The following is a 14,277-nucleotide window of genomic DNA, read 5'->3' as shown; positions in this document are numbered from 1 at the left end:
GGGACAGAGGAAAGAATCAGTAAACTTGAAGATAGAAAAATAGAAATAAGCCAATCTGAACAACAGAGAGAAAATATTCTGGAAAAAAAAAAAAAGAACAGAGGGTTGGGGACTGAGGGGACTATGACAAACGATCTAATGTTTGGGTCATAAGAGTCCTGGAAGAAAAAGGTCCAGGCTGAAAAAGCACTTGAAGAAATAATGGCTGAAAAACTTACCAAATTTAGCAAGAGACATAAATTTACAGATTCAAGAAGTAGAACAAATGCCAAATGGAATAAACCCCAAGAAAAACATGCCAAGACACATCAAAGTAATACTTTTGAAAACTAAAGACAAAAAAAAAATTCTGAAAGTGGCCAGAGAAAACCATAACATCTTACCTATTGAGGAAAAACAATTTGAATGACAGCAGATTTCTCTTCAGAAAGCAAAGAGGCCAGAAGAAAGGGGTGTAATATTTTTCAAGTGCTGAAAGAAAGGAATTGTCAACCTAGAATCAATACCTAGTAAAATAGCCTTATGATTGAAGTGAAAAATCAAGACAGTTTTGAATGAAGGAAAACTAAGAAAATTGTCACCAGCAAATCTACCCTAAAATAATAAAGGAATTTCTCAAAATAGAGACAAAACAATAAAAGAAAGAATCTTAGAATATCTAAAAGGGGCTGGGGCCAATGGCTCGCACCGGTAATCCCAGCACTTCAGGATGCCAAGGCAGGCAGATCATGTGAGGCCAAGAGTTGGAGACCAGCCTGACCAACATGGCGAAACCCCATCTCTACTAAAAATACAAAAATTAGCCAGACGTGGTGGTGCGGCCCTGTAATCCCAGCTACTCAGGAGGCTGAGGCACAAGGATTGCTTGAACCTGGGAGGCGGAGGTTGCAGTGAACCGAGATCATGCCATTTCACTCCAGGCTGGTGACACAGCGAGACTCTGTCTCAAAAAAAAAAAAAAAAAAAAGATATCTAAAAGGAAGAAAGAACATGGAAAGAACAAAATTACTAACTAAAAGATTTTCCTTCTTCTCTTGAATTTTCTAAATTAAGTTTGATGGGAAAAGCAAAAATTATAACACTGTGTGATATGGTTCTAAAGATATGCAGAGGAAAATTCAGTACAGTTATAACTGGAGGAAGGTAAAGGGATATAAAGAGAGGGAAGATATCTATACTGAATTAACTGGTAAAATGACAATACTAGCAGACAGTGATAAATTATTTTATGTAATTTAATATTTAGAGCAATCACTAAAAAAAATTCTAAGAAATACACTCAAAAGCACTACAGATAAATCAATTGGAATTCTAAAAAATGTTCAAGTAACCCATAGGAAGCAGGAAAAGAAAACAAAGAAACAATGAAAAAAAGGAATAAACAAAATTTTAAAATGGCAGACTTAAGTTTTAACATATTTATAATTCTATTAAATGTAAATGATCTAAGTGCACCATTTATAAGACAGAGATTGGAAGAGTCTGTTTTAAATGGACAAAGTAGACAACATGCGAGAACAGATGGGCAATATAAGCAGGGAGGTAGAAATCCTAAGAAAGAACCAAAAAGAAATGCTGAAAGACAAAAACACTGTAACAGAAACGAAGGATGCATTTGATGGGCTTATTAGTAACCCATCAAAAGAAAGATAAGAAAGAGAGAAAAAAACAGAAAAAAAATACTGGAACAATATTTCCACCAAATAAATGTCACACACCAAACCATAGACCCAGGAAGTTCAGAGAACACCATGCAGGATAAATGCCAATAACACTGCACCTAGGCCTATCATCTTCAAACTACAGAAAATCAAAGAGAGGAAAAACATGTTACTACAAAGAAACAAAGATAAGAAATTATATCCAACTTCTCTTCAGAAACCATGCGAGCAAGAAGAGAGTAGAGTGAAATAAAGTGTGGGGAAATAAAACCCACAACCCAGCAACCTACAATTCTGTACCCTGTAAAATTATCCTTCAAAAGTGAAGGAAAAATACTTTCTCAGACAAACAAATATTGAGGGAATTCGTTGCCCGTGAACCTGCCTTGCAAGAAATTTTAAAAGAAGTTCTTTAGGGAGAAGGAAAATAATGTAGTTCAGAAACTTGGACCTACGTAAAGAAAGTATAAAGGTTGAAGAAAAAATACGTGAAGGTAAAATAAAAATGTTTATTTTTCTTATTCTCAGTTGATTTAACAGATAAATTTGTTTAAAATAATAATAGCAACATTGTATTAGATATATATATGCACTTATATATAAATAAAATTAGTGACAGCAGTGATACAAGAAATGGAGAAGAGGAATTTGGATTATTTGTTATTATAAGGTATTCACACAACTTGTGAAGTGGGATATTGTTATTTAAAAGTACACTCAAATTAGTTGTCAATGTATGTTACAACTCTAGGGAAACCACTAAAAAATAAAAAAAGAAGTACAACTGATATGCCAAGAAAGGAGAGAAAATGGAATGTAAAATGCTAATTAAGACCACAAAAGATAGGAAAAGAGTAGAAGACAAAAGAAGAAAGAAAGATGAAAGGCAACAAATAGAAAAGTGTAACAAATATGGTAGATACGAATCCAATGATATCAATAATAATGTTGAATGTCAATGATATAATATGAATCCAATTATACCAATAATAATTTTGAATGTCAATGATATAAATGCACCAACTAAAAGACAGTCATTGTCAGAGTGGATCAATAAACAAGACCCAACTATATGTTCTCTACCAAAAAAACAAAAAGCAAACCCACTTTAAATATGAAGATAAAAATAGGTTAAAAGAAAATGGACAAAATATTACAAAGTAAGGTTAATCAAAAGAAAGCAGAAGTAGCCATATTAATTTTAGAAAAAGCAGACCTAAAAGCAGGGAAAGTGATCATGGATAAAGAAGGGCATTACATAGTGATAAATGGGTCAATTCTCCAAGAAGACATAACAATCCTTAACATGTATGCACTTAACATCAGTGTCAAACTATGAGACACAAAAACTGATAGAATTGCAAGGAAAAATAGATGAATACACTGTCATAGTTGAAGATTTAAAAACTCTTGATCATAAATGGGCAGATCCAGCAAGCAGTAAATCAGTAAGGACATAATTGAACTCAACAACACCATAAATCAACTGGATATAATTGATACCTCTAGACTATTTCATCCAACAACAGCAGAATACATATTCTTCTCAAGCTCACATGGGACATTCACCAAAATGGACCATATTCTGGGCTATAAAATACACGTAATTAAAAAAACAAAAAACAGAAATCATTGAATATCTACTTTCAGACCCCAAAGTAATTAAACTAGAAATTAATGACAGGAAGATAATGGGATAATCCCCAACTACATAGAGATTAAACAACACCTTTCTAAATAATATACGGTCAAAGAAGAAAACTAAAGGGAAACTTTAAAATATTTGGGACTAAATGAAAATTAAAACATAACTAATAAAAATTTGTGGGATGCAGTGAAAGCAACACTTAGTGGGAAATTTATAGCACTGAATACACATATAAGAAAAGAAGATCTAAAAACAAACTAATTTCTATATTAGGAAGCTAGAAATAAAGAGTAAATTAAATTCCAAGTATGCAGAAGAAAAGAAATAATAAGAATTAGAACAAAAAGTAATTAAATTGAAAATAGGAAATTAACAGAAAAAAATCAATGAAATAAAAACGTGGTACTTTGGAAAGACCAGTAAAATTGATAAGCCTTTAGCCAGGCTGAGAAAAAAAGACAGGACCCAAATTACTAATATCAGACATGAGAGAAGGGACGTCACTATAGAGCCCATAGACACTGAAAGGATGATAAATAAATACTATGAACAACTCTATGCCCACAGATTTGGTAACCTAGATAAAATGGACCAATATCTTGAAAGACACAAGCTGCCAAAACTCACATAAGAAGAAACAGACAATCTTAATAGGTCTGTATCTATTGAAGAGGTTGAATCAATTACCTCCGAAACAAAAAGCCTCAGGCCCATCCGTATAGGTTCACTGGTGATTTCTACCAAACATTTAAGGAAGAAACTACACCAATTCTCTACAGCCACTTTCAGAAGACAGAAACAGAGGGAAGCTATGCATGTTTAGGGGCAGAGAGTATAAGGCAAATCTCTGCACCTTCCTCTCAATTTTGCTATGAACCTAAAACTGCTCTTAAAAATAAAGTCTTAAAAATTAAACAACAACAAACATTATTCAACCATATGTTATCCAAAAGAAATTTCTTCCAATATAATGATAAAGGCAGGTTGGCAGTAAAGGGATTTTTTAAAAATCATGCAAACATCAATCAAAGGAAAGCAGGAATGGCTATATAAACATAAGATGGAGTAGATATCAGAGCAAAGAAAATTACCAGAGACAGAAAGAGACATATAATAATATAATAATAAAAGGGTCAATCCATCAAGAAGATACAGTAATTCTAAATATGTATGCACCTAACAACAGAGCTACAAGATATATGAACACAAAACTGATAAAACTAAAAGGAGAAATAGACAAATCCACAATTATAGTTGGAGATTTCAATGCACCTATCTGAACAATTTATGAAACAACTAGAAAGAAAATCAGCAAGTATAGAGAGAAGAATTCAGCAATACCATCAGTCAACAAATCTAAACGACATTCATAGAACACATCACTCAACGGCAGAATATATATTCTTTCCAAGTGTCCACAAAACATTTACCAAGATAGGACATATTACCAGCCATTAAAAAAATTCACAAATTTAAAAGCATTAGACTCATACCGAGTGTATTCTCTAACCACAGTGGAATTCAACAAGAAATCAAAAGCAGAAAAGTAACAAGAAGTTTCCAGACACTTAGAAACTAAACAACACATATTTAAATAATCCCTGAGTAAAAAATAAACTCTGTAGGAAAAGATGTTTTTAAATATATTAAAATGAATAAAAATTAAAATACAATATATCCAAATTTTAGGGACGCAGCTAACATAGTGCTGAGAGGGAAATTTATAACATGAAACGCACACATTAGGAAACAGGAAAAGTCTCAAATCATTAATCTGGGTTCTTAATCTAGAGAAAGAAATGCAAAATAAATCAATAGCAATCAAAAAGAACAAAATAATATAGATAAAAGCAGAAATTAATAAAATCGAAAACAAAATATAGAGAAAAATCAACAAAACAAAGAACTGGTTCTTTAAAAACACCAACAAAACTGACAAATCTTTAGAAAGACTAAAAACAAGAGAGAGATGCAAATTACCAATATCAGGGTTGAAACAAGGAATATTACTACAGTCTCTGCAGGATTATACAGACAGATAATAAGGCAATACGAGAAAGTATTCAACATGCATAAATTTGACAATTTAGATAAAACTGATCACTTCCTTAAAAAATATAAATTACCACAACTCGCCCAATATAAAATAGATCATGTAAATAGCCCCATAGTTCTTAAGGAAATTTAATTTATAATTTTAAAACTCCCAAAGAAGAAATCTCTAGGACAAGGCAGTTTTACTGGATAACTCTACCAAACTCTTTAAAAAGAATGAACACCAGTTATATACAACCTCTTCCAGAAAATAGAAGAGGCAAGAACATTTTCCAATTCATTTTATGAGCCTACTATTACCCTCATGCCACATTCAGATAAATGCCTTGTGGGGTTTATTCCAGGCATGCAAGATTGCTCCAGTATTAGGAAACTAATCAATGTGATCCAACATATTAACAGCCTAAAGAAGGAAAACCACGTATTCCTACCAATCAATGCAGAAAAAGCATTTGACAAGATTCAATACCCATTAATGTTTTAAAAATTCTCAAAAAATAGAAATAAAGGGGAAGTTGCTCAACTTGATAAAAGGACCTACAAAAAGCTACAGCAAACATTCTTACCTGTGAAAGATTGAATGCTTTCCTCCTAAGATTAGGAACAAAGGCAGGATGTCTGCTCTCATCACTCTTACTCAGCATAGACTGGAAGTTCTGGTCAATACAATAGAAAAGAAAGGTAATGAAAGGAAGAAATAAAAGTCACCCAATTTCTGGATGAGGTAATTGTCCACAGAGACGATCCCAAGAGATATATTAAAAAAACTCTTAAGAATTTACAAATGTGTTCAGGAAAGTTGAAGCATACAAGATAAACATGCAAAAATAACATTTTTCTATATAGTACCAAAGAACACACGGAGATTGAAATTAAAAATACAATAGCATTTACAATTGTTCAAAGGAAAATAAAACATTTAGGTGTAAATCTAACAAATCACTTACAGGAATTGTATGCTGAAAATTATATAATGCTGATAAAGGAAATCAAAGATGATATAATAAATGGAAAGGCATATTTTGTTCATGGACTGGAGTCTCAACGCAGTAAAGATGTCAATTCTTCCTAAGTTAATATACAGAGTTAATGCAATTTTTGTCAAAATTCCAGGAATTTGCCATATAAATTCTCAAATTATATGGAATTTTGTTTTAGTTATATTTATATGAAAAAGGAAAATCACTGGAATAACTAAAGCAAAAGTTCAAAAAAGAATAAAGTGGGATAAATGAGTTTACTCAATTTCAAGACTTACTATTTATAGTGAAGTTATCAAGACTGTGTGGTATTGGCAGAGGGACAGACATACATAGATCAATAGAACAGAGCAGAGAACCTGGAAATAGACCCATACAAGTATGTTCAACTGAGTTTTAACAAAGCAGCAGAAGCAATTCAACAGAGTAAAGATAGCCTTTACAACAAATGGTACTAGTGCAATTGGACATCCAGAGGCAAAAAAAAAAGAATCTTGCCCTATCTTATACAAAAATTACTCAAAATACACCATGGGCTAAAATGTAAACTGTAAAATTATAAAACTTGTAGAAAAAAGAACATAACATAAAATATTCAGGGCTAAGGATAGAAAAAAATTCTTGAACTTGACACCAAAAACATGATCCACACAAGGAGAAACTGACATTGAACGTCATCAAAAACACTTTTGTTCCGCAAAAGATCCTGTTAAGAGGATGAAAACAAGCTACAGAGTGAGCAAAAATATTTGCAAACTACCTATCTATATTTATATAACTCATGTAATTAATCAGTAAAAAAGCAAACAATCCTTAGAAATTGGGCCAAAGACATGAACAGACATTTTACCAAAAAGGATGTACTAATGGCAAATAAGCACATGAAAAAATATTTAATGAGCTTAGCCATTAGGGAAACGTAAATTAAAAGAACAATAAATTATCACTAACTATCTAATCAGAATGGCTAAAATAAAAATTGGTGACGACAACACCAAAGCTGGTGATGTGGGGAAATTCAGTCACTCACAGATGGCTGGTGGGAGTGTGAAATGATACAGTTAAAACCAGCCGGAAGTTTTATATAAATCTAAACATGCAACTAGCATTGCACTACTTGACATTTATCCAAGAGAAATGAAGACTTATATCCACCCAAACACTTGAACATGAATGTTTATAGCAGCTTTGTTTGCAATTGCCCCATATGGAAAACAGCCCAGATGTCCTTCAGTGGGTGAATAATGAAACCAGCTGTGGTACATCCATACCATGGGATAATGCTGAGCAACAGCAAGGAACAGACTACTGATCCATGCAACACCCTAAGTGGATCTGTGAGTCCATTTATCATATACTATTCTTTTTTCTTTCCCTTTCTTTTTTTTTTTTTTTTTAGACAGTGTCTCACTCTGTCACCCAGGCTGGAGTGCAGTGGCATGATGGTAACTCACCGCAGCCTCAACCTCCTGGTCTCAAGCCGGGACTACAGGCGTGTGTTACCATGCCTAGCTTATGTAACACTCTTTAAATGACAAAATTATAGAAATAGAGAACATATTAATGTTCATCAAGGGTTAAGGAGGGGGCAGGGAGCTGGCAGGAAGTAGGTGTAGCCATAAGGAAATGGAACCGTTCTGCATCTTGACTACATCACTGTCAATATCCTAGTTGTGATATTATGCTACAGTTTTGAAAGATGTTACCATTGGAGAAAACAGGTAAGGAGATTTCTTTGTGTTATTTCTTACAACTGCACGTGAGTCTACAATGTTCTCAAAATAAAAAACATAATTAGAAAAAAATAAATTACAGAAGCCACATATATAATAGTGGACAAGACACCAGCAACTATGGAAAGGCCAGGGTGACAGTAATAGATTTAAACGCAGGCTAATGCTGAAGTTTGTGTTAATTCAAATGCCATGAACAACAATACTGTTAGCAATGTTGGTTAACAAAAGGTTCACAATTCTCAATAAAATTCTGAACCAAACAATAATCTTTTCTCTCAAATAACACAGTATTTGCATTCTTGGAAAATACTAAGTATATTAAAACTACGCAAAAATGACTTTGTGTTTATATGTAACATGGAGTTAAATTCTAGGCTCACTGAATAAAACCCCAAATGTGACAACCAAAAATGCCCCCAAAGGCAAGTACGTTTTCCCTGCATTAATACCCATTGCTCTACCCCTCCAGCATTATCTGGAGACCACTGGTGAAGCAGGTATGTGAATCCATCTGTCTTTTATTAACCTAGGCATTAAAAAGACTTGTGAAATATTTTCTACATTTGCGAAATTACATAAAACAATATCACTCTTCTCAATTTTTTTTCTGTTTCGGGAAATAGAGCTAGAGAGTAATGAAGTTCAGAAATCAGAAAGTGTGAAAATTGCTGCTCTCAGGCAAGTGCCCCATCTTCCCCCCTTGATATTGACAGCATCTAGTAACATGACTAAAACATGATAGGTGCTACATAAACACCTTTATTGAGCTGAACAAAGAGACCAGCTAGAAGACCAGAAAACCCCACTTCACCAGAACACTCCAAGTATTCCCTTGAGTACCCAGGATTCAATGAGTAGAGCAAAGGCTCCCACGGCTGGGGATCTTCCTTGTGTAACTGTGCCTCCCCTGGCGCCCTGGACAGTGTCTTCCATAGAGCTCCCACTTCCCATTTCACTTGAGACCCAGCCCAATTCCAGAGCCTGCCCAGGGTCACAGCTGAGAGCGAAGGACCCAGGGCTTTTGCCTCCAAGCCTCTGGCTTCCCCACCAGCCTTTGCTGCCCTAGCGGTGGCACTTTCACCCTTTCCTCTGATTGGCCGTGGAAATAGACAAGGCCTTGTCAAAGCTGTGGCTAGTGGGTTTCATGATTCTTTCTCATGTAGGACTCTGCCCCGGGATGAGGGGAACTCTCTAGAGAAATGGCTGCAAAAGCTGGGCTCTTGCTTCTCAGTCAGGTGACAGCCCTTCCTGGGGAAAGGACTCGGCACCAGCCAGAATGCAGAGGAGAGCCCTCCGTCTCATTGGTCCTGTGTGGAGAACCCTGACTAATGCAATGTCCTCTGATAAAACTAGCTGGAATATGTCCTTTGAATGTGCTGCAGTGACTGTCTTCTTCTCAGGTCTGTATGGCACCTACATGTTTTCTCCAAGCCTCAAACCCTCCAATCGGCAGGGCCACCTGAAAGTACAGGCACAGGAGCGCTGGCCCAAATTTCAAATGGTCACATGACTTTTCCATGCTTGGGAACATGTTTTCCTGCTCCCCACAGACAATCCATTATAGTATCAGGAGGAGAAAATTCTAGAATAAATCCGTTCTCAATTCCCTGTATCCCTTTTGATGGTGCTCACACTGCGAAAAGCTAATTGGGCAGGGTAACAGTGAGGCGAGGCACCCCGTACCCCAGCTGCAGTTTACTCATTGAGTTAAGGATGGAAGCTTCCCTCCGTTTCTTCACCTGAACAGAAACCAGTATTAAACCTTAATCTCCGGGCCTAGGAACATTTTACATTTGACCACTGTGACCCTCCAAAAGGCTGGGAGCAGGACATCCTGAAAATCAAACGAGGTGAGGCTAAAAATAATGTAGAATTGAGGAGTCTTCAATTAAGCTGTTTTGTAAAATGAGTCTAATGATTGATTTCTGCACAGCTGATCAGACAGGTCTTGAGGTTTATTCAGTTCTAGCGATAAGATGTCTCAGTACCCTGTTGGTGTGTGTGTGTAGTGGGGACAAGGAGGTGGCCTACTATCGTCATATCTGGTGTGTTTGCTTCCCTGGAGGTAATCGTCACTCAACAGAAAGTAAAGCTCAAAGACCCCAAAAGTCCTAGATATCCTCAGAGCTATTAATTGTTTTTGTTGTTGTTCTGCAGTAGAACCAGAAAAGTTGGTAAGGAAAGGTCTGGAAGAGGGAGTTCCAGCCTCCAGGCCCTGCCTCCGATGCCAGACGCGCTGTAGAAAGGTGTAAACTGCTCCACAATCCCACGCATGGGGAGAGAGATCCTGTTACCCTGACTTGCCTTCAGATCACCTCATGTTTTCTGAAAGCTGAGCTGCCTGTCATTTTGTCGGGACTATTGTGACCGCAGAGGCCTCTGAATCGCCCACTTGGCAGGACTCGCCAGGCTTCTTGCTAGCCCAGCCCAAGGTTCCCCGCAGGGGTTCACTCCACCATTTAATTATATGTGGTTTGAGAAGTCTGCGGTAATCCTCTGAAAATGGACGGCCTTTTTGTTCTCCTCTCACGGCAGAGGCTCCTAAAACAGGCCAACCAATCTTCATTGGTTCTGTAAGCAGTGAGGGGCAAGGATAACACAAAGGTTCTACCCAGGTTCCCAGCTCCCGGGGAACGCGTGGCAAGGGGCACAAATATCATCAAGAGGTAAGGGGTCCCCACCCATAGGCGCTCAACACACAGCTCACAAAGTGGAAGGCTGGGAGTCCAATCCAGCCTACAGACACTTAGTCTCTAACAAATTTTGATTTTTTTTTCTCAATTTGCTTGGAAATTTTAAGAGTTAAAACATTTTACATTAAGATCTGTATTTCTGGCCTCTCTTGAAAAATTGGGAGACTTAGCAGCTCCAGGCTGCATTCCCCAGGGCAACTGGGAGCTGGAGCTGAGGAATCATCGCCCCCTTCAGACAGGGCAGTGGATCTCAGAGCGTGGTCCTCATCAGTAGCAGCCACATCACCTGGACAGTTGTTAGAACTGTGGAGTCTGAAGGCCGGGTGGGGTGGCTCACGCCTGTAATCCCAGCACTTTGGGAGGCCGAGGTGGGTGGATCACAAGGTCAAGAGATGGCCAACATGGTGAAACCCTGTCTCTACTAAAAATACAACAATTAGCTGGGCATGGCGGTGCGTGCCTGTAGTCCCAGCTATTGGGGAGGCTGAGGCAGGAGAATTGCTTGAACCAAGAAGGCGGAGGTTGCAGTGATCCGAGATTGCGCCACTGCACTCCAGCCTGGTGAAAGAGCAAGACTCTGTCAAAAAACAAAAAAAGAAAGAAAAAGAAATGTGAACTCTGAAAAAATCAAACTTGCAGAAGATGAGAGTAGAATGGTAACTACCAGAGACTGGGGACGGGGAATGGGGATGGGGAGATGTTGACCAAAGGGGTTCACAGTTTCAGCCAGACAGGAGGACTAGGTTTTTGAGATCTATTGTATGATATGGTGACCATGGTCAGTAATAACGTAATATATTTAAAAATTACTAGAAGAATAGATTTCAAATGTTCTCACTACAAAGAAACGACAAATATGTGAAGTGATGGATGTGTTACTCTAGCTTGATATAATCATTCCACAATGTATACATGTATCAAAACATCGTATTTTACCCCATAAGTATATGCAATTGTTATTTGTCAATTAAAAGTAAAACTTCAAATTAGCATGCATGGTGACATGCGCCTGTACTCCCAGCTGCTTGGGAGCCTAAGCCCAGGAGGCGGAGGTTGCAGTGAGCCGAGACTGCGCTACTGCACTCCAACCTGGGTGTCAGAGTGAGACTCTGTCTCAAAAACAAAAACAAACAAACAAACAAACAAATCCAAATAAAGAAGAAAGAGAAATGCACGTTTTCAACCCCAGAACCACTGCCTCAGACACTCCGGCGTAGGGCCCAGCACTCTGTGTTCTGACAAGCCCTGCAGGGAGTCTGATGCTTGAATTTGAGGATGGCTGAGACCGAGCCTGGGTACTGTTTCCAAAGTGCCCACTCTGCCCTGATGCCTACTCCCAGCCTGGATCTACATCAAGTGTTGATGCTACCAGCCTCTGTGTTTGTGACCCCTAGCTTCACTGCTTTTGCATTTTGTATTTTGCATTTGCATTTTGTATTTGTACTCCACTCAGCTGGAATAGTTGGCAGCAATGTGCCTTGTTCTCTGCATACAAGGGGTGATGGGAGAAGGCTCTGATGTGCCTCCAGGCCAGGCTACAAAGTCAAAAGTCAAGCAGCAAGCGCTGAAGGCTCAATGCATGAAGACCCAAAAGAAGCTGAAAAGAAGAGAGGTGGCAGGAGAAGACCCTGGATCGATGCCACCTGGATCTAGTCACTTTCATCCCCCACCCTGGGGCGCCTTCTCACCCATATACATGTGACTTGGTGCAGCTGTAAGTGGCTATGTGCATATTTATGTGTTTCTAATATTTGTCCTGAGTTGTGCATTTTTCTGCCTGCTCTTCTGTCTCTACTTCAGAAGACACTTCCCTCTCTACAACCCAGGGCAAGGGTTGGGCCCTTACATCCTCTAAGCCCAGGGGTCTGCTGGGCAAAAATACTCACGGCCACCACAAAGATGGAGTGGAGCTGATCTGGCCGGGCTCTCAGCAAGAGGGCACAGAGGAAAATGTAGGCAAAAGCCAGGAGAGCTGTATGGACAGCTGTGGTGTCAACACTTGGCTACCTGGATCATGGCTGCCACTGATAAAATGGGCAAAAAAATGACAGCCCACTGGCTTGAAAAGGGGAGCAGAGCAGGCCTGAGCTGCCAAGGTCAAGGACAGGTGGGATTTGCTGTAGTGCCGCAGCCTGGCCATGGTGCTTGGCACAAAGCAGACACAGCCTAAGTATTTGCCGGAAAGAAGAAATAAAACAGTGTGGCACTGAAGTTGGGCTGAGGGGGCCCTGACATTTGCTCACTTACTCATTCCTCCATCTGTTCACTCACTGCATGTGGCGCTTTTGTACCAGGCCCTGCTCCAAGCACAATCGGGAGCCAGGGGTTCAGTGACACACTCAGCTGAATGGAGAAAGCAAAGAATTTCCATTAACACCTGCAAAACATGCAGGTGCAGGATGGGCTGCCAGGTGCCAGGAGCTCTCATGTCATTTCATTTAAGTGGCTGCTCCTTCCTCAGCTGATCTAGGTTCCCGCAGCATCACACCAACCCCCTAGGTATGATCTGGGTCTCCCCTGCTTGAGGAAAGAAGGAAGAAGATAGGAGGACCTAATCTGTGCCCATGTGGAGCTAGGAGCCTTAGACTCTGACTGCCCTGAGAGCGGTGGGCAACATATTCATTTATATTGGAAAGATAATAATTACAACGAATATTATATTATTATGGTAGCAGCAGCAGGAATAACAGTAATAGCTGCCTTTATTGCCTGATGTATTAATCCATTCTCACACTGCTATAAAGAAGTACCTGAGACTGGGTAATTTATAAAGAAAAGAGGTTTAATTGACTAACAGTTCCACAGAGTGTACAGAAGGCATGGCTGGGAGGCCTCAGGAAATTGGTGGAGAGTGGTAGAAGGGCAAGGGAAAGCAAGCACATCTTCACATGGCAGCAGGAGAGAAAGAGAGCAAAGGGGGAAGTGCTACGTACTTTCAAACAACCAGATCTTGTGAGAACTCATTCACTATCATGAGAACAGCAAGGGAGAAATCCTCCCCCGTGATCCAATCACTTCCCACCAGGTCCCTCCCCCAACATTGGGGATTACAATTCAACATGAGATTTGGGTGGGGACACAGAGTCAAACCGTATCACCAGAGTTCTCACTAAGATATAGGCCAATGAGTCAGGCATATTTTCTGCATTTGGTCATTTTCTCATCACAACAGTCAAAAGGATTAGATATTTTGATCTTATTTTACAAATGAAGAAGCTCAGTATTAGGGAGTTTGGGTGTCAGGCATCTTTTCAAATCCAGTGAGGTACAATAGAAGAGCCAACCCTATATAAGACACGGCAAAGGAAAGAAAACAAAATTAGAGTCCAAGAACCTAAGTCTAAACCTCACTTGGCTCTAGTAATTATTAGCTACAGGCCACCACATACAGCTGCCCAGGTTGTCTACTGCATCACAACCCCAGGAGATGCTTTTCACTGAGAGAGCAGTGTGAATGCTCTCTCAGGTTGTGCAACCTGGTGGCCCTTGTTAGTTCTATGGCCA

The 14,277-nt window shown here is 38.8% G+C and overlaps 1 long non-coding RNA gene across 3 annotated transcripts in view; it reads right to left on the bottom strand.

Moving 5' to 3' along the window:
* The window catches only part of LOC105371024 (uncharacterized), a 116,308-nt gene that overhangs the window by 84,514 nt on the left and 17,517 nt on the right, over positions 1-14,277 (bottom strand). For all 3 annotated transcript variants that reach the window (XR_932726.3, XR_932728.2, XR_932729.3), the window contains exon 2: positions 5,931-6,020. This is a non-coding gene — a long non-coding RNA (uncharacterized LOC105371024). The remainder of the gene's footprint in view (positions 1-5,930; positions 6,021-14,277) is intronic.

The sequence above is a fragment of the Homo sapiens genome, chromosome 15 (genome assembly GCF_000001405.40).
Source record: "Homo sapiens chromosome 15, GRCh38.p14 Primary Assembly".
Taxonomy (NCBI): Eukaryota; Metazoa; Chordata; class Mammalia; order Primates; family Hominidae; genus Homo; species Homo sapiens.
This window is presented reverse-complemented; position numbering and strand designations above follow the sequence as displayed.